The sequence below is a fragment of the Homo sapiens genome, chromosome 3, assembly GCF_000001405.40.
Source record: "Homo sapiens chromosome 3, GRCh38.p14 Primary Assembly".
NCBI lineage: Eukaryota > Metazoa > Chordata > Mammalia > Primates > Hominidae > Homo > Homo sapiens.
The window spans coordinates 9,837,441-9,861,848 of NC_000003.12; the positions used below are offsets into that span (position 1 = coordinate 9,837,441).

The following is a 24,408-nucleotide window of genomic DNA, read 5'->3' on the forward strand; positions in this document are numbered from 1 at the left end:
TCAAGTGATCCACCCACCTCAGCCTCCCAAAGTGCTGGGATTACAGGTATGAGCCACTGAGCCCAGCCACCATCTCTACAAATTTTTTTTTTTTTTTGAGACGGAGTCTTGCTCGGTTGCCTAGGCAGTGGGTGTGATCTTGGCTCACTGCAACCTCCACCTCCCAGGTTCACTGCCTCAGCCTCCTGAGTAGCTGGAACTACAGGCGCGTACCACCACACCCAACTAATTTTTGTACTTTTTGTAGAGACGGGGTTTCACCATGTTGGCCAGGCTAGTCTCGAATTCCTGTCCTCGTGATCCGCCCACCTTGGCCTCCCAAAGTGCTGGGATTACAGGCACAACTCAGCAGTAAGCAAGATCCGTAATAAACATTTACTTTCTTAGCAAATCCTCAAAACCATAACATGAGGTAGGAACTTTTATTATCACAAGTCCAGAGAGGTAAAGTTACTTGCCCAATGCCACACAGCAAGCAAGTGGCCTGTCCAGGATGTGATCTTAGGTTTGTCTGACTGCAGAGCCCCCACCCTCACTTTCCAGTGTGTGTGAGGGGGTCAGGAACAGAGGGAGGACTATTGTAAGCGGAGCCCCAGGCACTGTAGGGTCCTGGAGAAATAAGGGGGCAGTGGTGCCAGGAGCTCAACAGGGGTGTCCCTGGCCCTGGTGCCTGGGAGAAGGAGCCGATGTAGGTGGAGGTGCAAGGGCAGCTGGGCAGCCTGGGAGGGGGTCAGGTGGAGGCGTCTGAGGAGGGCTTCATCCAGGACCTGGAGCGGGAGAGGTACGTTGTGTTCAGCCCCACATTTTCCAAGCAGCTGAGTACCCAGCTCTAAGGGAAATGGGAGTAAGGCGGGCGCTTCCTCCATTCCCCACTGTTCTGCAACTGTTAATCATTTCCTCTTTGCACACAGATGTGCACATTCACACAGGCACTCACACTGCAGCAGAGACTGGCTAGGGGGTCACCCAATCAGTTTCCTCCTAGGCACACACCTCAACTCCATTTCCCAGCCCTCTCACAGCTTGGTGAGACGTGAGTGAGCTCTAGCTGAGTGAATGTGGGTGGCAGTATGTATGCCACTTCCACACCTGGCCCAGAAAAACCTTATCCACTTGAACCTACACTGTCTCCCCTCATCTGGCTGGGTATCAACAGCCTGGGTCCCTGAGTACTTAGTGCTTGAAGCAGAGCCCACTCCCATTATTTGACCTTAACATGAGGGCACAGTTCTTGTGTGAAGACTCTGGTAGTCTGGGCTTAGTGTGTTAGAGCAGGTAGAGGCATCTGGTGTCCTAATACACGCATGCCTTTGACCCTTTGTACCAGACTCAAAGAATGGCAGACTTAAGAGGGCTTTAGAAATTAGCCACATCAACTCCCTTATTGAACACATGGACAGAATGAAGCCCAAGAGAGTGAGTGTTACTTGCCCAAGGCCACACACCAAGATGTGGGTACGGATACAGCCTTGGGAGCCAAAAGGGCTGCCTCCCAGTAGTCCCAAGCTGCACAGATAAGGTCTGGAGATGCTGCCCATGCTCACCTCTCCCTCCACCCCTCAGAAAGCAGCAGGCAGGTGGGCTGGAGTACCTGTCTTTGGGGCTTGTTGTTCTCAGCTGGCAGCAGAAATCGCTGGCCCAGGACAGTGCCCACACGGGCAGAGTACATGTGGTCCCCAAGCACAGGGCAGAGCTGTAGTACCATGTGCACCTGTAGTTGACTGGAGAACACTGGGCAACAGGAAAGCCAGGAGAGACAGTGGGCAGCTACTCGTTCTGTGCCACCCAGTATCACTCCTCCCCTTTTCCTTTGGGGAAACACCACCCCCTTTCTCAGATCATATGTTTCAGTGAGGTCAGTACTATGGCCCCTGCATCCAGAGAGGGACACATAACACGTCAGGACGATCACAGCTATCAATCTGCCTGGCTGTGGGATCCACTCATGATGAGATGCAACCCTGATTTAATTGCTGAAGCCACCGGGCCTAAGGACTGTTCTTTCCTGTTGGGGTGCTAGCCTGAAGCTGCCTCCTCTAGCTGGGCCTGGTCACATACACCTCTGGGGGCCATCAAATGCTCCCCAGGCTGCTGCTGATACCACTGTCTCCCCAGCTCCTTGCCTCCCTAAGCCAAGTGCAGTTTTTTTTTTTTTTAGCCAGCGTTTCACTCTGTCTCCCAGGCTGGAGTGCAATGGTGTGATCTTCGCTCACTGCAACCTCTGTCTCCCAGGTTCAAGCGATTCTCCCGCCTCAGCCTCCCAAGTAGCTAGGATTACAGGTGCGTGCCACCAACTCCAGCTAATTTTTGTATTTTTAGTAGAGACAGGGTTTCACCATGTTAGCCTGGCTGGTTTCGAACTCCTGACCTCAAGTGATCCATCCGCCTTGGCCTCCCAAAGTGCTGGGATTACAGGCGTGAGCCACCGCGCCTGGCTCAAGTGCAGTTTTTTTTTTTTTTAGATGAAGTCTCCTCTATCACCTAGACTGGAGTGCAGTGGCATGATCTTGGCTCATTGCAACTTCTGCCTCCCAGGTTCAAGCGATTCTCCTGCCTCAGCCTCCCGAGTAGCTGGTTTTACAGGCGCCTGCCACCGTGCCCAGCTAATTTTTGTAGTTTTTAGTTGAAACAGGGTTTCACCATCTTGGCCAGACTGGTCTTGAACTCCTGACCTCGTGATCCACCTGCCTCAGCCTCCCAAATCAAGTGCAGTTTTAAAGGCTGGCTAGGGTGCCAGACCTACCTGTCAGTGGCTGCAGCTGGACCAGGGCACAGCCAGAGCCTGTGGCTACCACACGAAAGTGACTGAGAGTCTTCTTGACACCTTCCAGGATGTCCTTTCGGGATGGGGCCTTCACTGGAACTGTCTGTGGTGCCAGCCAAGAGTGAACAAGCCTTACACAGGTCTGGGAGCTATACCCAGACCCTCCCTGCTCCCAATAGACTCCGGGCAGGGCCACAGTATAGGCAGTGGTCACTTGCCTGTTTTAGGGGACAGGAGAGCCAGCCATCCCAAATCCATACCCCTGACTCCTCTCTGTAGGGGTACTATATCTAGAAGCACCCCTCCTCTTCCCAGACCCGGACTCACGAGATTGACCCCATCAATGTGTTCCAGTTTCAGGGCAGCCTGGATCTTCCCCTCAGAAGCAGCTGGGATCCCATCAGTGACAGCACTGAGAAAGGGGCAGGAGGAGGTCACAGGGTGGCTTGCTGGGACCTCCCCACCACTCTAGGAACCTCCCAGCACCTCTCACCAGTAGGTGGCTGTGGGCCTTTGGGCTCTCCGTGCATGGGTGAAGTACTTCTGGAGGCGACTAGCTGTCTGGGGACAGCTGGAGAGGAGTACAAGCCCAGAGCTTTCTCTGGAATAAGCAGACAAATCACACAAGTTAAAGTCCCTTGAACTCGCCCACTAAAAAGGAAACTCTTAGGAACACTGACCTGCTTCAGGCCAAACACTAACACCAGGACTATAACCTAGACCAACTCCTGAGAAACAAGTAAGGTTTCCCCTTCTTTGATAACAAGACTATGTAGCTTAATGTGTTTCTCATTTTGCCCCGGCCCCCAGGGAACTCAGAGCCAAATGTCGTAACGATTGTCTACCATGTGCCAGAATTCTACTAGAAATTCTGTACATATTAGCTCTTAAATAAGTTCTCTACAAAAAAGCTCATGAGTTTGTGGAACTGCAGAAATATTTCATCTCAAGTACCATCTTTAATTGATGGCAGTTAGAGGAAAGAGTATCATGGATCGACTAGCAATGCCTGCCACGAGTACCGTCATGGAGAAATGACTGCACACTGAGCATAGGTATTATTTTCTCTATTTTACCATTAGGGGAACTGAAGCTCAGGGAGGGTATTTGTTTTGTTTTGTTTTTTTGAGACGGGGTCTCATTCAGGTTGTTTAGGCTTGCGTACAGTGGCGGGATCTCAGCTTATTGCAGCTGCCATCTTCTGAGCTCAGGTGATTCTCCCATCTCAGCCACCCGAGCACTACAGGCATGTGCTGCTCTGCCCAGCTAGGTTTTTGTGTGTGTGTGTGTGTGTGTTTTATTTTGTTTTTTAAGTAAAGATAGGGTTTTGCCATGTTGCCCAGGCTGGTCTTGAACTTCTGGACTCAAGCAATCCTCCCACCTCGGCCTCCCAAAGTCCTATTGATTATAGGCATGAGCCACCACGCGGAAAGTTTTGTTGTTGTTTTTCCAGAGATGGGGTCTATTTTGCCCAGGCTGGTCTCGAACTCCTGGGCTCAAGTGATCCTCTTGCCTTGGCCTCCAGAAGTGTTGGGATTACAGGTGTGAGTCACTGTGCCCAGCGTCAGGGAGGTGTCATGCTTTGCCTGGTATCACACCATTTGTACTTGAGGATTTGAACCCAGAGCCATCGGCTTCCTCTTCTTCACAGTACTTGTATCCACCTCTATGATCTCAAACCTTCCCATGGAAAATGTCTCAGCTTATCCCCAAGCAGCTGTTTCCCCACCACAGATGGATGCCTGTACTCCTAGCTTCCTGTCACCCCTACCACTTACTTCCCAGATGCTCGGACAACCTGAAGCTCCTGCTCCCTGAGCCCTAGGGACTGGCTCAGCTCTGGCAGCACTGAGAACAACGTCAGCTCTCCTGGTTTTCCTGGAAAGTAAGAAAGAAAAATTACAAGAGGCCAAAGCTTCATGCCTTCACTTTTCCCTCCCTCAGTCACGAAACCCCCTTCCGCTGCATTCCCTTCCCACATCCCCGGCCCATACCTGTCACTGGTAGACCCTGTGGCTTGTTCAACGTCACTAGAGGTCCTGAAACATACATCACACGAACATCAGCAAAAGCAACGGTAACCCTTTATGCAGCACTAAAGAGTTTCCAGAGCACTTTCTCACGCATCTTAGCACATGTCCCCATCATGACTCTCAGACATGAGTTAACTACCCCACACCAAATTCAACTTCTTTCTGTTCCTCTGCCACCTCAGAGCCTCGGCACTTGCTGTTTCCTGTCCCCAAATTTCCCAGGTCTGGCTCCCTATCATCTTGGCTCAAATGTCACATCACGGAGAGGTCTGAATCTCCAATCTAATGTCTGCCTTCCTCCTGCAGTTCCTCACCATCATAACACCCTGTTTTAGTTTATGCATAGCACTTACCACTAGTAACTTGTTCATTTATTTTCTGACATCCATTTCTCCCGTTAGAGAGAAATCCATTTCTCCCCTGAGAGCAGAAACCATATCTATCTTTTTCAGCACTGTATAGCCTGCCTAGAACAGTGCCTGGAACATAGCATATGTTCAAGAAATAGTTGAGAAAAGGAATAAATCACTGAATAGAGAGTGGGGTTCAGAGAAATTCAGTTATTTTCCTAAAGCCGCACAGCAAGCTGATCACAGAGCCTAGGTATGTCTGACTCCAAAGCCTGTGTTTTGTCCGTCGATAAATAATCATTATTTATTTATTTATTTATTTAGACTGAGTCTTGCTCTGTCATCCCAGGCTGGAGCGCAGTAGCACGATGTCGGCTCACTGCAACCTCTGCTATCCGGGTTCAAGTGACTCTCCTGCCTCAGCCTCCCGAGTAGCTGGGATTACAGGCGGACGCCGCCACACCTGGCTAATTTTTGTGTTTTTAGTAGAGACGGGGTTTCACCATGTTGGCCAGGCTAGTCTCGAACTCCTGACCTCAGGTGATCCGCCCGCGTCAGCACCCTAAAGTGCCGGGATTACAGGCGTGAGCCACCGCGGCCAATAAACAATAATCTAGTATAGCAACTCCCGTAACTGAGCGCCGGCTATGTGCAAGGCTCGGTAGTTATTTGCATCTTCTCCCCACTCTTAACCCTACTGCATCATGGCAGTAGGGTTAAAAGCGGGGAGAGGGTGCAAATTAGGTGGCTTGTCCCAGCTCATGCTGCTAGTGGGAGGCAGAAGCAGGGCTGATCCCGTGGCTTCAATGGAGAGCCCAACTGCACGCCGAGGCAGTCCCCTCCCGGTCCTTGTGCGGCCGTGCCTCTCACCCCTCACCTTTCCGGTCCACCACGGCTGCCCGCAGCGCATCAACCAGCTCCTCCCGACTGAGGTTTTTTGGCAGCAGCCCCGCGAAGGGCTGGTCCCCGAGGGGCCCCGACCGTTGGCAGGAGCCGCGGGGTTGCCTCTGATGCCTGGACAAGGAGGGAGAAGCAATGGGAGTCATTCCATCCCGAGGTGCCACCCATTCCTATCTCCGGACGCCTCTTCCCAAATCCTGCGGCCTCTGACAAATGCCTCACAATGTCTGGGCTGACCTCGAAAATTCAGGTACGACCGGTCCCATTCTACAGCGGAGGGCACCGAGGCTCAGAGAGGCCAACGGGGCTGTTTTCGGGTAACATCTACCTGATCCAGATCCCGCACGTGCCTTCCCCCTGCCCTAGCCTCCGTCCCGCATGAGAGAGGGGGTACTTAATCACCGGGCTTCGGTGCCAAAGCCTGCGTCCTCGGGCACTGGGCGGACACCCAGGCCCCGCCGCCAGCCACTCCAGAACCGGCCCAAAACACGGCGGCCGTCCATCTCCCGAGCCAGGACAGCGCGCATGTGCGTCCAGAGGGGCAGACCCGCGCTCCAGCCAGCGCGCTGATTGGTCAGCTGGAGTGTCAATCGGAATGGTGACCGGGCGGGACTCAGAGCCTGAGGAGGCGGGGCTTTTCCTCCGCCCAGGAAGGAAATGCAGAAATGCCTTCCTATGCTTTTAGGGAGAGCGCTGTAGCAGAAGAATTTGATCTGATCAAAAAACCTGTCTTAGCAAAAAACCTGAAGCCGCCTTTGCAAAAATTATATTACAAAATTATGACAGCGAAAGAGATCTGATCTAACCAACCCGCAGCTTGCCTTTAACCTCTAAACGGTCCTTGGTCATTCCTGGGCTTGGGCCAAGCTAACTTTGGGAGAAATTAGTTCGTAGTCTAAATGATAATTGCCCTTCCCCCGAACTAAACTGGCTTCATAGAGTTAATGAAAGGCCACCAGGTTAGGAGTAGTAGAGGGACCTGAATTCTGCTAAGGGTTAGAGGTAACTGATTACCAGCGGTTATTCCGGAGGTCACAGTGTTTGCAGCTTCCCCAGCTCACGATTGTCCAACCTGAGATTGGCCTTTGGAGATGTCTTTCCAGGCTTTTGCATTTCTGACGGCCGGATCACCCCACCCGGACCCTCAACTCTTGGCTCTACTAGTCCTGTGGCCCCTCGAAGTCAGGAGATCGAGACCATCCTGGCTAACACGGTGAAACCACGTCTCCACCAAAAATACAAAAAAATTAGCCGGGCGTGGTGGCGGGCGCCTGTAGTCCCAGCTACTCGGGAGGCTGAGGCAGGAGAATGGCGTGAACCCGGGAGGCGGAGTTTGCAGTGAGCCGAGATCGTGCCACTGCACTCCAGCCTGGGCGACGAGCGAGACTCCGTCTCAAAAAAAAAAAAAAAAGAAAAAAGAAAAAGAAAGTAGAAGAACACAGAAAAAAAAGAATAATATAATGACTGCCCACATTCCTACCATCAGAATTAGTCATTGTGAAACAATATATATATGTATAGGTTTCCTGTTTTTCTTGTTTAAGAAATGAAAGGGATAAAAGTAAATTCCCCTTTACTGCGTGCTTCCAGTTTTCACTCCCTCCCCAGTCTCCACTTTGAGTTTGGTGTGAACATTTTCCTAATGTGTTTTGGTTTTTGTTTTTTGGAGACAGAGTCTCGCTCTGTCACCCAGGCTAGAGTGCAGTGGCCCGATCTCGACTCACTGCAACTTCCACCTCCCGGGTTCAAGCGATTCCCCTGCCTTTGCCTCCTGAGTAGCTGGAATTACAGGTGCGGTGCCCGCCACCACACCCGGCTAATTTTTTGTATTTTAGTGACGGGGTTTCACCATGTCGCCCAGGCTGGTCTCGAACTCCTGAGCTCAGGCAATCCGCCCGCCTTGGCCTCCCAAAGTGCTAGGATTACAGACGTGAGCCACTGTGCCCGGCCACTAATGTGTTTTTTTGCTTGCTCTGTCATCCAGGCTGGAGTGCAGTGGCACAATCACAGCTCACTGCAGCCTCAACCTCCCAGGCTCAAACGATCCTCCCACTTCAGTCTCCTGAATAGCTGGGACTACAGGTGTGCACCACCATACCTAGCTTTTTTTTTTTTTTTTTTTTTTTTTAAAGATATGGGGTCTCACGATGTTGCCCAGGCTGGTCTCAAACTCCTGGGCTCAAGATAAGAAAATAAAAATAACAAAATAATTTTTAAAAAATCAAACTCCTGGGTTTAAGGGATTCACCCACCTACTTCGGCCTCCCAGAGTGCTGGGATTAAAGGCCGCACGGGGCCTTTGACAGACACTTCTTTTTTTTTTTCCTTCGAGATGGAGTCTCACTCTGTCACCCGGGCTGGAGTTCAGTGGCACGATCTTGGCTCACTGCAACCTCTGCCTCCTGGGTTCAAGCAATTCTCCTGCCCCAGCCTCCCAAGTAGCTGATACTACAGGCATGCACCATCATACCTGCCTAATTTTTTGTATTTTTTAGTAGAGATGGGGTTTCACCATGTTGACCAGGCTGGTCTCAAACTCCCGACCTCAGGTGATCCACCTGCCTCAGCCTCCCAAAGTGTTGGGATTACAGGTGTGAGCCACCGTGCCCGGCCTTTGACGGACACTTTCTAATAGGCTTTTTCATCCAGCATTACACACCCCTATGAGGAAGGCAGGGTGGGTTGGGGCCCTGCCTTACAGATGAGGACACAGTGGCTGTTGTGGTTCTTTGTGTCCCTTAAAGGCATGCCAAAAGCTATGGGTGGGCTCAGAATGCCCCGGAAGGAAGTCAGATAACTGAAAAGAACACTTGCACTGGTCACAGGAAAACCAGCCTGAGCTGCCGGCAGCCTCTGGGAGGTGTTGGGATGGCCTGCCCCTGGTTTCCATGCGGGTCCTGACCCAGAGAGCAGGCCCCAGGGGAGTGGGGGTCAGCAGAGGCAGGATGGGGCCCGGTCTGCTTGTGAGGGAGTGCTGGGAGGGTGGAGTCTCACTCTTGAGGCACAGAGCTCAGCCAGCGGAAGAGGGGATGCAGGGATCAAGCCCCAGGCCCTGGGGCCTGAGGTGTGAGAGCTGTCTTTGATGGTTGAAGCCAGCCTTCCCAGGCCAGGCCAGGCCAGGCTGCTCTCTCTCCCCGAGGATGCATTTCTTGCTCTGTTATCAGCCCTGAGCTCTGAGAGAAGGGACTTTCTTTTTTTTTTTTTGAGACAGAGTCTTGCTCTGTTGCCCAGGCTGGAGTACAATGGCGTGATCTCGGCTCGCTACAACCTCTGCCTTCTGGGTTGAAGCGATTCTCTAGCTGCAGCCTCCCAAGTAACAGAGATTACAGGCGCCTGCCACCACACCCTGCTAAGTTTTGTATTTTCAGTAGAGAAAGGGGTTCACCATGTTGACCAAGCTGGTCTTGAACTCCTGGCCTCAAGTTATCCACCCGACTCGGCCTCCTAAAGTGCTGGGATTACTGTCATGAGCCACTGAACCTGGCCAGGAGGGACTTTCTTAAGAAGGTCACAAGAGGACTCAGCACCTGCCAACTCCCAAGTAGAGCCTGGGCAGGGGTGGGAGGTGTCCCCGGGGACCCCAGTGCACGAGAGCCCTGTGCCTGCACGGCCCTCCACCAGGAGGCCAGGCCTCAGAGGCAGGCCAGCATTGGAGCCACTTACCACATGAACAAATGTCTGTGTCCCCCCAAACTCATGTGTTGACACCTCATCCCCAAGGTGATGGCATCTGGAGGTGGCATCTTTGGGAGGTGATGGGGTCATGAGGGTGGGGCCCTTGTGGTTGGGATTAGCGCCCTTATACAAGAGGCCCCAGAGAGCTCCCTCGCCCCTTCCGCCATGTGACCACAGTGGGAAGATGGCAGGCATGACCCAGAAAGTGGGCCCTCACCAGACACCCTGTATGCCAGCTGATCTTGGACTGCCAGCCTCCAGAACTGTGAACATTATATTGCTGTTGTTAGAGAGACCCAATTTACAGTATTTTGTCACAGCAGCCCCAACAGACTAAGACGTATGACTGCAAGCTCTGAAAATGCAGCCAACACCACATGTTGGAATCATGATATTTGGGATGTGTTGGGGTAAACCACATGCATTAGTAAAATAAACTGTTCAACACCTGTGAAAAGGAGAGAAAAAATATAAATAAATGAAATAAACTATTACTTTCTGAAGGGGTGGGTTGTCCCTCCACACCTGTGGGTGTTTCTTGTTAGGTGGAACGAGAGACTTGGAAAAGAAAAAGACACAGAGACAAAGTATAGAGAAAGAAATAAGGGGGCCCAGGGGACCAGCGTTCAGCATATGGAGGATCCCGCCAGCCTCTGAGTTCCCTTAGTATTTATTGATCATTCTTGGGTGTTTCTCGGAGAGGGGGATGTGGCAGGGTCATAGGATAATAGTGGAGAGAAGGTCAGCAGATAAACACGTGAACAAAGGTCTCTGCATCATGGACAAGGTAAAGAATTAAGTGCTGTGCTTTAGATATGCATACACATAAAACATCTCAATGCCTTACAGAGCAGTATTGTTGCCCGCATGTCCCACCTCCAGCCCTAAGGCGGTTTTCCCCTATCTCAGTAGATGGAACATACAATCGGGTTTTATACCGAGACATTCCATTGCCCAGGGGACATTCCATTGCCCGGGGACGGGCAGGAGACAGATGCCTTCCTCTTGTCTCAACTGCAAAGAGGCATGCCTTCCTCTTTTACTAATCCTCCTCAGCACAGACCCTTTACAGGTGTCGGGCTGGGGGACGGTCAGGTCTTTCCCTTCCCACGAGGCCATATTTCAGACTATCACATGGGGAGAAACCTTGGACAATACCTGGCTTTCCCAGGCAGAGGACCCTGCGGCCTTCCGCAGTGTTTGTGTCCCTGGGTACTTGAGATTAGGGAGTGGTGATGATTCTTAACAAGCATGCTGCCTTCAAGCATCTGTTGAACAAAGCACATCTTGCACCGCCCTTAATCCATTTAACCCTGAGTGGACACAGCACATGTTTCAGAGAGCACGGGGTTGGGGGTAAGGTTATAGATTAACAGCATCTCAAGGCAGAATAATTTTTCTTAGTACAGAGCAAAATGGAGTCTCCTATGTCTACTTATTTCTACACGACACAGTAACAATCTGATCTCTCTTTTCCCCACATTTCCCCCTTTTCTTTTCGACAAAACTGCCATCATCATCATGGCCCGTTCTTGATGGTCGCTGTCTCTTCAGAGCTGTTGGGTACACCTGCAGACTTGAACAACAGACAAAACAGGCACACAAGGATTAATATGAAATTTATAATCGTAGTACTTCCAATCGTCTTAACCCAAGTGACAGGGTTAAGATTTGTGAGGCCATCAGCAACTCCTGCGATTGCCTCAGTTCCTGGCACCAAATTTAAATGGGCTTTTGATGTTTTGAAAATTTGTTCTTTTAATTTGGAAATGTCTAAAGTGAGATTATCTTCTCTTGCCTGTAGATGGCGTCTAACCATGTCCCAGTGATGCTCAGACTCATTACAACTTGGGGTGTAATACAAAAATCTGACATATTCCAGTCACATTGTAACTGGAAACGATGTTCTAAGCTCATGAGCCTGTCTCCCATCCAAATGACAGTTTGTCTAAAATCATTAATTTGATTTGCCAATTTTTGATCAATACCAGATTGTGAATTCCACAATCTTGTAGCATTTTTTTGCCAATCATTAACAAAGTTTACTGACTGAACAGAAGAGTGCAGCGCAACTCCTGCCACAGCAGCCGTAGCTGTGACTGCAATTAATCCCATAAGCACTGTAATTAAAGTAAAAATGAATCTTTTGGATCTATTTAAAATGGCTTTTAATATTCAGTCAAAATATGGACGGATGGCGAGGCCTCCCACGGTCGGTCCATGGACACAGGGATCCACACGCCCTCTCTTGCTCTCACCAGCAGAATACGGTGCTGCCGATTAAAAGTCGAATCAATGCAAGTAAACTATCTACTTTTTACAGGTTATAGTTTGAGAGTCTGGTTTAATAACTATATTTCCTACAACTAGCATATAAGGGGGCTTTACACAACTTTGTAAAGGAACCGTTAGACTGGAATTTAGGTCGATAGTATAAAACGGCTGATGATCTCTTGTTTCTAAAGTTTGATTTCCAGACCAAATCCTAATGTGGTATGAGGCTACAGTAAGCCTCCATAATTCTGGATGTTCAGGACCAGAAACAGGACTTATTATTTTTGGTCTTGGGGTAGAGATTCCTTTTTCTCCCCATTCCCAGGGATAGAAAGACTGTAATTTTTTATGCTTATGTTTGTCTAAACTTTCTGTTAAGTCACTTTCAACAGCTGGACTCACTTGTGCCCTGGGACATGACTGAGTTTGCCCTGAGCAATTGTGGTAGAATTGACCTCAAGGTGCCCAATCTATAATAGTTCCAAATTCATTGTTTTGTAATATTACCGCACTATTGGCCACACATTCTTCCCAAACTAAAGCTTCTGTATTTTTTGATCCTTTGGGAATTTTCTTGGGGCAAGGTTTCCCTTTAGGTCTAAATTTTAATGATCTTTGATAAGAAAAGTCTTGTAAATTATTTACCCGTGGCCTGAGTGACATCCTGCTTACCGTGTGATAAGTGAATCTACTGATGGGACTGACAGTAGGTACTTCTAACAACCAATTTTGGACTGCAGGCATTAAGCATCCTGGTGCTCTCCCTAGGCAAATAGGAGGATAACGATACCCAGTGGAAATATTTATCATAATCCCTTCTTCCTCAGGTTTGGCAGGGCAGCGATCATCTGTGGGGCCAGGTACCCCATACACTATCATTAACATATACTTCAATAGGATTATCCATCCATGTGACTGGTGTTTCCATGTCCGTGGAGGCGCTTTTCTTTGCATCTCTGATGGATTCATTGTAGAACTTCAAATGTCTAGTGGGTATCCAAACAGGAAGCTGATTTTCTCCTGGTGAAACACAAGCAAAACCTCTCCCCCACGTCACCACCTTCCCTATTTCCCATGTCTTATTTTTATTATCTTTCCACCAAATCAGTTTTCCTTCATGTGGGCTGTTCTTTTTACCAGTAAGATGTTGTTCTGCAGAAGTAGTAGTCTGATTTCTATAAATGTTTAAAAAATTTAAAGTATAGAGTGCTAGATTAAGTTGCATCTGAGGAGTGGTACACTCCTTATTGTCTCCCCCTTCTTTTTGTTTAACTAATTGAGTTTTGAGTGTTCTATTAGTACTTTCAACTATGGCCTGTCCTTGGGAATTATAGGGAATTCCTGTTGTATGTGAAATTTTTCACTGATTTAAGAATCTTTGGAAAGCTTTACTACAATATCCTGGTCCATTGTCAGTTTTAATTTTTTCTCGAACTCCCATTACAGCAAAATACGATAATAAATGTTTTTTAACATGGGAAGTACTTTCTTGATTATCTGGCCCTAAACAATGTAAAATCCTAGTACTTTGATACACTTCTGAGGCTGTGCCTACGCCGACAAGTCCTGTAACAGCCTTTTGTTTAGGCCAATTTTTTGGCCACTGATTTAAAGCAATGAGAGACATCTGCTCCAGTGTCTACTAACCCTTCAAACTGTTTTCCTTGAATAATGGACTTACACACAGGTCTGTTCTCTGAGACCTGACTTGCCCAATATGCAGCCTTTCCTGTTGGATCAGTGCTTCCAAACCCTCCTGTTCTTTTTATCTCACTATTTCCAACCTTAATATAAGGCAGGAGTAATAATTGAGCAATCCTGTCTCCTGGACTGGCACTCCAAGGAATTGAAGAGCTAATAACCAATTGAATTTCACCTTTATAGTCTGAATCAACCACACCAGTGTGAATTTGAACTCCCTTTCGATTTAGACTTGATCTTCCTAAGATTAGTCCTACAGTCCCCTCAGGCAGTGGGCCATATACCCCTGTGGGGATTTTTTGTGGGGGCTCCCCTGGAAGCAGAGAAACTGCTTGTATAGTACATAAATCTACTGCTGCACTGCCGCTTGTGGCGGGGGACAATTGTTGTATTGTGGTAACTGGCTCATTCCCTGAGGCACTTGGGACAGTGGGGGTTGTCTTCCCTGAAAACCCTGAGGAACAAAGGGCTGAACTGGGAATGCCCCAGTTTGTTGTGGGGCCGGACTGAGGCTGGCCCCTTTGCTCGTTTCCCGACAATGGTTGCCCATTTCTATCAAATTTAGAACGACATTGACTAGCCCAGTGTTTTCCTTTTTGACATCTTGGACATAAGTCAGGTGGCTCTTTACCTGTTGTTGTAGTCACTTGAATAGTTATATTCTGTTTATTTGAGGCTGGGCAATTCTTTTTTAAATGACCACTTTGACCACAATTATAACATTTCCCTCCAAATGTTCTAACTTGTCCTCCTAAAGCAGCTCCCATTAGTGCTTGAGCCATAAGCATAGCTTTATGCATAGCTCCTCCGATTCCATCACAGGCTTTTACATACTCTGAGATTACATCTGATCCTGCGGGAAACTTTCCTTTTAATGGCTTAATGGCTGATTGACACTCAGGATTGGCATTTTCGTATGCCATCAACTCCACTATGACCTTACGGGCATTTTCATCGGCAATTGACTTTTGAGCAACATCTTGGAGCCTTGCCACAAAATCAGGGTAGGGCTCTTTAGAGCCTTGTCTTGTATTAAATGAGGGGCAGGCGGTTCCTGGGTCTTGGATTTTTTCCCAGGCTCTAAGGCAGATAGCTCTAACTTGCTCAATGGCCTCATTTTGCATTAATGCTTGTTGACTAATAGTGCTCCAATTTTGACCAGTTCCCAGTAGTTGATCTGCATCTATGTTAACTGGAGGATTAGCAGCCCTATTTTTTCGGACCTGTTCTTGTGCCCCATTAATCCACCAAATCTTAAATTGTAAAAATTGAGAGGGTGAGAGAGACGATTTTGCCAGAATCTCCCAATCATAAGGAATGAGTCTATGTCCGTGTGCAATGGAATCTAATAATGTCCTCATATAAGGGGAGTTGGGTCCATACTGTTTTATTCCCTCTTTCATGTCTTTTAGCATTTTTATAGAAAAAGACTTGTATCTGGCCTCAACTGTGGGAGGCTCTCCCTCTTGGGCTCCTTCTCCAGGTGGTATCAGTTCTAACATTAGTGGGAATGGCCACGCCTCAATATCTCCTTGCTTTCTTGACTTATCAATAATTTTATGTAATGCACTACCCTGTCTATTAGGTGGTGCTGTAGGATTAAGTCTCATAGTGGGCGGCTGAGGGTATGGCGCCCTGCCCTGTGGTGCTGGGAGCATTCCTGGATGTCCATACTGACTTTCTGGGGGTGGCCGATACTGAAATTCAGCCGGCAGCCAGTATTGATAAGCTACTGGTGGTTGGGTCTTATTTTCTCTAACCTGTGTTTGAGGTTGTAATGTTACGGGCATCTGACCTGCTGGAAGAGGACTTGTCCCTCGTGGTTTAGACTCTGATGGCCCCACTAATTCTGGACCTTTTTCTTCTAATTTTAACGTTTCAGGGTATATCACCTGCTGTAATTGATTATAGTCAACATTTTGCATTGACTGAGCCATTACCAGCTCTACTGCATATTCACAATGTAAACTTTCCATTTCTTTCCGGGATTTCCTCCCCGCCTCTTCTTTACAATCTATTACACAGCCTTCAGGGGCATCAGAAACTGAAACGCTATCTTCTTCTGTTTGAAATGGTTCTAAAGCTGCTTTAATAATGGCCCAATCATTCCATACTGTAAGTGGGATGATTTTACCCTCCCTACTTGCTTGTTTTAATTCTTTGCCAATTTTTTTCCAATCTTTTAGATCTAAAGTTCCCTATTCTGGAAACCATGGGCAAAATTGTTCTATTGTTCAAAATAGCTTGATCAGATTTTTTGTAGGTACTCTAACTCCCCCGCTTTTTAAAAGAATTTTAATAAAGCTGAGATAAGAGGCATATTTACTTTTAGTTTTACTTTTAGTTTGCCTCATTGTTACCCCGGCTTCTTCCAAGCGCACAAGCTTACCGCAAGGCTGACTGTAGACGTACTCGGGATCTCTTGTGGACTTGTCCTCAATGACCACACTCGAGCGTACCTTCACCCTAGAGAAAAGCACCCACGTTGGGCACCAGATGAAGGGGTGGGTTGCCCCTCCACACCTGTGGGTGTTTCTTGTTAGGTGGAATGAGAGACTTGGAAAAGAAAGAGACACAGAGACAAAGTATAGAGAAAGAAATAAGGAGGCCCAGGGGACCGGCGTTCAGCATACGGAGAATCCACCCCAGCCTCTGAGTTCCCTTAGTATTTATTGATCATTATTGGGTGTTTCTCGGAGAGGGGGATGTGGCAGGATCATCAGATAACAGTGGAGAGAAGGTCAGCAGATAAACACGTGAACAAAGGTCTCTGCATCATAGACAAGGTAAAGAATTAAGTGCTGTGCTTTAGATATGTATACACATAAACATCTCAATGCCTTAAAGAGCAGTATTGCTGCCCGCATGTCCCACCTCCAGCCCTAAGGCGGTTTTCCCCTATCTCAGTAGATGGAATCGGGTTTTACACCGAGACATTCCATTGCCCAGGGACAAGCAGGAGACAGATGCCTTCCTCTTGTCTCAACTGCAAAGAGGCATGCCTTCCTCTTTTACTAATCCTCCTCAGCACAGACCCTTTACGGGTGTCGGGCTGGGGGACGGTCAGGTCTTTCCCTTCCCACGAGGCCATATTTCAGACTATCACATGGAGAGAAACCTTGGACAATACCTGGCTTTCCTAGACAGAGGTCCCTGTGGCCTTCCGCAGTGTTTGTGTCCCCGGGTACTTGAGATTAGGGAGTGGTGATGACTCTTAACGAGCATGCTGCCTTCAAGCATCTGTTGAACAAAGCACACCCTGCACAGCCCTTAATCCATTTAACCCTGAGTTGACACAGCACGTGTCTCAGGGAGCACAGGGTTGGGGATAAGGTTACAGATTAAAATGGAGTCTCTTATGTCTACTTTCTATACAGACACATTAACAATCTGATCTCTCTTTCTTTTCCCCACAACCAAGGGCCCAGCTCCTAACATGCAGGTGTCACCAGAGAGAAATGCACCACTGTGCCCAGCACCATAGCTCTGGCTCAGAGAGTTTGCCTGAGAAAGCAGCAGACAGAAAACAAAAGGTGCGAGTTGCTCCCGAAGGAACTGACTTCATGTGCAACAGAGCTCGGAGAAGTCCAAGGCTAAGCACACTCTCCAGAACAGTGGAGGTTGTGCTGAAAGGCAACTGGGAGGCGACGGAGAGCCTGGGAGGTGCGGGCTACACTGGAGGCCAGCAAGTCTGCCAGAGAGAAACAGAAAAAAAGACAGGTGGGAAGAGCTCTCCTGGGGTCAGAACAAAGCTTAATATCTTCTTTGACAAAGAACGTAACATCAAAATAGCCAACTATGGGTTTAGTTCAACATTTGCAAAGAGAGACAACACTGAAAAGGGAACGTTTGATGGGACTCTCCCTTATGCAGGCCCAGAACTCTTCTTGGGCCATGGGTACCAATGCCCTGCCATCAACGTTTGGAGCCTTGGCATCATCGTATGCAAAATGGTGGCTGGGGCCCTGCCATTTTATGAGCAGAACTGTAAGGATATACTGAAAAAAAAAAAATTAAAATAGTATGCTACTTTTTTATTCATTTTATGGAAAAAAATATTTAAAAATTCTTCACACTCAACCCCAGGGAGCAGCTCCCACTGGACCAGCTGTTGAGGAACTCCTGGGTCAATAGTGACCAGAAGACATGATTCAAGCCATACAGAGAGCCACTCCTGGACTACCCAGGCCCCCCAACAACCCAGCTCATAGTGGCCATGGGATTCTAGGAAGAACATATCGAGGAAGTGATATTAAAAAAATATATGATCATCCCATGGCCACCTACCTAATCATGGAGTTCAGAAAAGTGCAGAGGAGAAAGGGCTCCAACATCGGAGCACAATCCCTCCCTCCCGGGGATCCCATCTGTCCTTCCCCATCTGCCACAGTTAAGTCAACCTTCCCTGTCCAACCCAGAAGAGGACTCAAAACCAGCCGACCTTTCCCACTTTCTAATTCACAGAAGCATGAACACCATCCTGGGAGTTAGGGCAGAACCCTACTTGGCCTGGAGATGAAGCCAGCCATTCCCAGCAAAGCCCCCCAGCATAAGTCTGTGGCTTCACCCTCCCCAGAGCACCAGCAGCCATGGGGAAAACCTGAAGGATCCTTGTCTCTGGGAACCCACTGGGAAGTCGGCTCGCTCCATGTGGAAGACCCAGAAGAGGTGGCTTGGTCTGAGGGAACCCCCGGGAAGCTGGATGGTATAACCTCAATCTCTGTGACTAAAAGGAGCCATGGCTACCATGGGCAAAAGATGTTTCAGTTTCATGCTGCAATTATGTTGTTTCTGACTAGCACAAAAAAGTCAAAGGGAGAAATAAGGCAGCACCAGTGAACCCAATGGACAGCTGGGCCCAGACAAAAACCAAGTGGGTGGGGCAGTCAAGCTACACTTCCTGTGTTTTATTACATTTATTATGTTCTTCTTAATATTATTTTAATTGGCAAATCATGCTTGTATTCATTTATAAGATACAGTGCGGGGATTAGATAGATGTGTGCACCATGGAATGACAAAATCACACTACATAGTATCTGCATCACCTCAGAAAGACACATTCCACGTGATGTCCCTGAAGTGTCCATCTAAAAAAGTTGACCTCATAGAAATAGCGAGTGGGTCGATGGTGAACGATGGCTGGGAGTGGTGTGTGGAGGGGTGGCAGAGGGAAGAAATGGGGGCTTGTCGGTCAAAAAACCACAGTCTCAGTTGGAAAGGAGGAAGAGGTTTTGACATCTAGTGCACAGCAGGGTGACCAGAGTCAATGAGAATGTGTTGCATATGGCAAAACACCTGAGAGGGTCCATGTCGAATCCTGGCATTCAGAATGGAGAAAATAAAGGCCCTGAGGTTCAAGAACATTAAAAACCTTGTGACAGGTTGACCACGTGTAGACTTCAACGGCTGTGGGTGAGAACTGGGCAAGATGCCGATGCTGCCATTTGCCCAGCACATCTGGCCCAGAGGCATTCAGCAGAGGACGCAGATGTCCAAGCTGCTACCAGGGTCAGTGGAACAGGATTCAAAAGTCAAGAGGGCATCTGGCAACCCTGTGGCCTCCAAAGGCCTATCAAAAGCTATAGGTGAGCTGAAGGGCAGCCTAGAGACTCCTGGAGACCAGAGGGCCCCTCCACCCCACCTGGCCCGGAGCACCATCTCTTCCTCCTGTCTGTCCCCTGCTTCCTCTGTCCTGCCATCTCCCCCTTCCTCCACCCTCAGCTCCCTGCAGTCCTCTCTCCACCTTTCCAAGGTAGACGCAGCTTGCTGCTCTGCTGTCCTGAGTCCCCACTAAGACTGTGGTTTCTGGTCCCTGCTGACCTCTGGGACTTGATTTCCCTGGCCTTTTGCCCCACCTCCTTTCTGTTTGTCCCAGCCCCACCCCCAACTCCCTCTCCCCCAGCTCCTCCTCTGCTATTCCTAATCCCCTCATCCTGATTGCTTTTTTGCTACATTTTCTCTAGCTAAATCATCTTTTATTTACTTGCTAATAATCTATCCATGGGTCCCCTGGAAGTCTGTCTTGTGCTACATACAATGATGAAAATCTAGGGCCCGGTGTGGTGGCTCACGCCTGTAATCCCAGCACTTTGGGAGGCCAAGGCGGGCGGATCACGAGGTCAGGAGATTGAGACCATCCTGGCTAACACAGTGAAACCCCGTCTCTACTAAAAATACAAAAAATTAGCCGGGCGTGGTGGCGGGCGCCTGTAGTCCCAGCTACTCAGGAGGCTGAGGCAGGAGAATGGCATGAACCCAGGAGGTGGAGCTTGCAGTGAGTGGAGATCCTGCCACTGTACTCCAGCCTGGGCGACAGAGCGAAACTCCGTCTAAAAAAAAAAAAAAGAAAAGAAAAGAAAAGAAAATCTAGGCCGGGTGCTGTGGCTCACGCCTGTAATCCCAGCACTTTGGGAGGCCGAGGCAGGCAGATCACAAGGTCAGGGATTTGAGATCAGTCCGACCAACATGATGAAACCTCGTCTCTACTAAAAATACAAAAATTAGCCGGGTTTGATGGCGCATGCCTGTAATCCCAGCTATTCAGGAGGCTGAGGCAGGAGAATCGTGTAGACCTGGGAGGCGGATGTTGCAGTGAGCTGAGATTGTGCCACTGCACTCCAGCCTGGGCAAAAGAGCTAGACTCCATCTCAAAAAAAAAAAAAGGAAAGAAAATCTGGAAACTGTAATTTAACTCCTGGCCCTAGACAGGACTCAAGTTTTGTGAAAGGGAGGAAGAAAAAAAAAGCAAACCCCACCAAACCAACACCTAGTCTAAAGCCTGATATAAATGCCATTCAAAACATGTTTCCTCCTTTATTCTTTTTTTTTTTTTTTTTTTGAGACAGAGTCTCGCTCTGTCACCCAGGCTGGGGTGTAGTGGCGCAACCTCAGCTCACTGCAACCTCTGCCTCCTGGGTTCAAGCCATTCTCCTCCCTCAGCCTCCCAGTCGCTGGGATTACAGGCACCTACCATCATGCCTGGCTACTTTTGTTTTTTTGAATTTTTCGTAGAGATGGGGTTTCACCATGTTGGCCAGGCTGATCTCAAACTTCCATCCTCAAGAGATCTGCCTGCATCAGCCTCCCAAAGTGCTGGGATTACAGGCGTGAGCCACTGCGCCTGGCCTCCTTCCTTTATTCTTCAATAACCAGAAAATTCTTCCTGAAAAAGGTGGCCCCTGAGACCATTTGGAAGCATCACAGGGGGGAGGGGCAAGGGTCCTGCGAGCTGGTCTTGCCATCCCTTGTCCCCCAGTTTACATGAAGCCGAGTTTACATGAAGCCAAGCTCCAGAGAAGAGGCAGGGCCTGTGGGGCATTTGGATTACACTCCAAGTCTAATTCCCAGTCCAGCAATCCTGCCCCCAGAGGCTTCCTTCATCTTTCCACTTAGCCAAGGAAGGAGCAGGTCAGCTCATGCCCCCTGCCTGGATGCAGACAACAACCATCAGAAGGCCATCCGTGTAGCCGGGGCCCCAGAACAATGTCTGGAAATGGCTCAAGGAGCTGAAGCCCTTTAGCCTCAAGAAGAGCATGAGGGACCCAGCACCCTTCTGAAACCTAAACTACATTCTGGCCTGAGCCATTTTGCACTGTCTGTGCCCTAGAAAGCTGTGAAGGCCTGTAAGTGGGTCTTCCTGTTTCCCTGTCTTCTGAGGCCCAGGCCTTTCTTAGAGCTTCCGTGGGTCCCACCCTTACACGCATCACACCGTGTCTGGGCTCTGCCTGCCTGGCTTACACTCCCTACCCCCAACCACTGCCCTATTTCCACCCCCGGGACATCCTGCTGGGCACTGCTGTTCCCTCTCTTAGAAGATTTTCACAGGTCCTGCCCTTCCCTTTTGCCAATTGATATCATTTGGCTGTGTCCCCACCCAAATCTCAACTTGGATTGTATCTCCCAGAATTCCCATGTGTTGTGGGAGGGACTCAGGAGGAGGTAATTGAATCATGGGGGCCATGATTTCCCAAGCTATTCTCATGATAGTGAATAAGTCTCATGAGATGTGATGGGTTTATCAGGGGTTTCCGCTTTTGCTTCTTTCTCATTTTCTCCTGCTGCCACCACGTAAGAAGTACTTTTTGCCTCCTGCCATGATTCTGAGGCCTCCCCAGACATGTGGAATTGTAAGTCCAATTAAACCTCTTTTCCTTCCCAGTCTCAGGTATATTTTTATCAGCTGAATGAAACAGACTAATACACCAATCAAGTGAATGTCACCTCCTCAGAGAAACCCTCCCTGAGCACCCCATCTGCAGTAGGGTCACCCCATCTTCCACCTTCACTTTTCCTGGTGTTTCCTTCTTAGCCCCTATTTCCATGGGGAGTCTTTGCTCTGACAGACTAGTCTCCCTCACCCACCCGGGGCCAGCCTGTCTGTCTTCTCTGTCCCTGTACATGGGAGATGATCAATGTTCATTTGTTGGCATCAGTAAAACAGGAAGGCCCCTGAGGTGCAAGGATTGGAAGCCCTTCCCCCCAGGTGAGGAAAGAGCCTTGAGGCAGGGTAGAGGACCCGAGTTAGTGCCCTCTCCCTACCCCGAGGGTCAGCCCTGGGCAGGACGGGCCACGGCCCCTTGGGGCACCTGTTGCCTGTGCCCTTGATGGGTGGCCTGCAGGGGACGTGGCCGCACTTGGTCAGTGGTGGTTCTGGGTCAGCCACATTCAGGTGGGCAGCATTTTAGGAAGGACAAACTCCAAAACCCAGGCTCCAAAGGATCCACGGGAAGGTCGAGAGGCTCAGGGGAGTGTCCTGGTGGCTGGGCCAGCGCTTTGAGGCCCCTGGGGAACCAGCAGAGAGGGCCTGCGTGAGGCATCTGGAGGCTCTGAGCACCTCTGGAATCCCAGCGACCTGCAGAGGTTGCCCGTCTCTGTGGGGGCAGCAGCGCCTGAAGGGAGGTGGCCATAGCAGCCCACAGGGGCCCAGGGCTGACCAGCTCTGCCTTGGGTGCCAAGGCTGGGCAGGGCCTGTGCCCTTGGGAGTCCTGTTTCAGACCCACCTCAACCACATGGCCCTGCCCTCATCTTATTTGCCTGGACAGCAAGGCCTGCAGAAACTGATTTGCTCATCCAATTTGGGGAACCTGAGCTCCCTGCTGGGCAAGCCTGATGGTTTCACAGCTGCCCATGATGGTTTCCTCGGCAACTTCAAATCAGACTCTGCTCCTTAGTTGCCAGCACCTTTACTAAAGAAGGTGGGGGCGGTGGGCAGAAAGCATGGGGGTGTCGTGTCATGGTGACAGGTGTAAGGAGAAGGCAAAGAGTTTTCCACTTCCATTGATGGTAGCAGTGGCGGCCACCTGACCCAGGGCACCATCTCTTCCTCCTGTTTGTCCCCTGCTTCCTCTGCCCTGCCACCTCCCCCTTCCTCCCCAATGAGGTCACTGCAGTTCTCTCTCCACCTTTCCAAGATAGATGCAGGTTGCTGCTCTCCTGAGGTCCCCACTAAGGCTGTGGCTTCTGATCCCCGCTGATCTCTTGGATTTTATTTCCCTGGCCCCCTCCCCCACCTCCTTTCTATTTGTCCCACCCCCATCCCCACCTTCCTCTGCCATTCCTAATCCTCCCATCCTGATTCCTCTTCTAGGTTTTCTCTGGCTAAATTATCTTTTTTTTTTTTTTTAGTAGAGACGGGGTTTCACCGTGTTAGCCAAGATGGTCTCGATCTCCTGACCTCATGATCCGCCCGCCTCGGCCTCCCAAAGTGCTGGGATTACAAGCGTGAGCCATTGTGCCCGGCCTTTCTTTTTTTCTTTTTTTTTTTTTTTTTGAGATGGAGTCTCATTCAGTCCCCCAGGTTGGAGTGCAGTCGTGCATTATCAGCTCACTGCAACCTCCAGCTCCCAGGCTCAAGCCATTCTCTTGCCTCAGCCTCCTAAGTAGCTGGGACTACAGGCAAGCACCACCACACCTGGCTAATTTTTGTATTTTTGGTAGAGAAAGGGTTTCACTATGTTGGCCATGGTGAACCGGGTGATCTGCCCGCCTCTGCCTCCCAAAGTGCTGGGATTACAGGCATGAGCCACCATGCCCTGCCAATTTTCTTTATTATATACTTGCTAATATCTGTCTCCTTACCCACCCCCCACCCCCCACCAGACCTTGTTTTGTGCAACACAGAATGATGAAAATCTAGAAACAGGAATCTCACTCTTGGCCCTAGCCAGGACTCAGGTTTTGTGAAGCGGGCTGGGGCAGGTGGAAAAGCAAGCCCCACCAAACCAACACCTAGCCTAGAGCCTGAGCGAAGTGCCACTCAAAACACAGCTCCTCCCTTTACTTTCCTGTAACCCGAGAATTCTTCCTGAAAAAGGTGGCCCCTGAGAACAGTCTAAAAGTGTCACAGGGTGGAGGGGCAAGGGTCCTGAGAGCTGGTCTTGCCATCTCTTGTCCCCAGTTTTCTTGAAGAAGTTGAGCTCCAGAGAAGAGGCAGGGCCAGTGGGGCATTTGGATTACGCTCCAAGTCTGATTCCTAGTCCAGCAATCCTGCCCCCAGAGGCTCCCTTTATCTGTCCCCTTGGCCAAGGAAGGGGCAGTCACCCCCTGCCCCCTGCCTGGCCACAGACAAAAACCATCAGAAGGCTGTCTGTGGGGCCCCAGAACCATGTGGTAATCGCCTAAGGAGTTGGAGCCCTTTAGCCTCAAGAAGAGGGTGGGGGACACAGCACCCTTCTGAAACCTAAACCACATTCTGGCCTGAGCCGTTTTA

General features: G+C 49.5%; 1 protein-coding gene and 1 pseudogene across 5 annotated transcripts, besides 4 other annotated features; one reads left to right on the forward strand and one right to left on the reverse strand.

The window, feature by feature from the left end:
• RPUSD3 (RNA pseudouridine synthase D3) lies at positions 409-6,568 on the reverse strand. Of its 5 annotated transcripts, none has more exons than NM_173659.5 (9): positions 6,450-6,568; positions 6,025-6,161; positions 4,759-4,803; positions 4,543-4,642; positions 3,258-3,365; positions 3,092-3,176; positions 2,744-2,867; positions 1,592-1,731; positions 409-767 (listed from the first exon to the last, which is right to left on the reverse strand). In NM_173659.5, the coding sequence occupies exons 1-9, from the start codon at positions 6,548-6,550 to the stop codon at positions 576-578; spliced, it is 1,032 nt and encodes a 343-aa protein (NP_775930.3). In that variant the 5' UTR covers positions 6,551-6,568; the 3' UTR covers positions 409-575. The 5 variants fall into 5 exon arrangements, with proteins under 5 accessions (NP_775930.3, NP_001338667.2, NP_001136019.2 ...); NM_001351738.2 differs by having other exon boundaries at positions 2,744-2,895; NM_001142547.3 differs by lacking the exon at positions 4,759-4,803.
• Positions 6,431-6,510: an enhancer, noted in NCBI's record as "active region_19411". NCBI's record gives its function as "activates an Ori minimal core promoter by ATAC-STARR-seq in GM12878 lymphoblastoid cells {active_cell/tissue: GM12878}" and the evidence as "EXISTENCE:reporter gene assay evidence [ECO:0000049][PMID:35858748]".
• Positions 11,055-11,915: an enhancer, noted in NCBI's record as "NANOG-H3K27ac hESC enhancer chr3:9890179-9891039 (GRCh37/hg19 assembly coordinates)". NCBI's record gives its function as "activates a minimal SCP1, AML or CMV promoter by ChIP-STARR-seq in naive H9 embryonic stem cells {active_cell/tissue: H9 hESC(naive)}" and the evidence as "EXISTENCE:reporter gene assay evidence [ECO:0000049][PMID:30033119]".
• Positions 16,469-17,138: an enhancer, noted in NCBI's record as "NANOG-H3K27ac-H3K4me1 hESC enhancer chr3:9895593-9896262 (GRCh37/hg19 assembly coordinates)". NCBI's record gives its function as "activates a minimal SCP1, AML or CMV promoter by ChIP-STARR-seq in naive H9 embryonic stem cells {active_cell/tissue: H9 hESC(naive)}" and the evidence as "EXISTENCE:reporter gene assay evidence [ECO:0000049][PMID:30033119]".
• Positions 17,465-18,092, forward strand: MARK2P1 (MARK2 pseudogene 1; annotated as a pseudogene).
• Positions 21,887-22,427: an enhancer, noted in NCBI's record as "H3K4me1 hESC enhancer chr3:9901011-9901551 (GRCh37/hg19 assembly coordinates)". NCBI's record gives its function as "activates a minimal SCP1, AML or CMV promoter by ChIP-STARR-seq in naive H9 embryonic stem cells {active_cell/tissue: H9 hESC(naive)}" and the evidence as "EXISTENCE:reporter gene assay evidence [ECO:0000049][PMID:30033119]".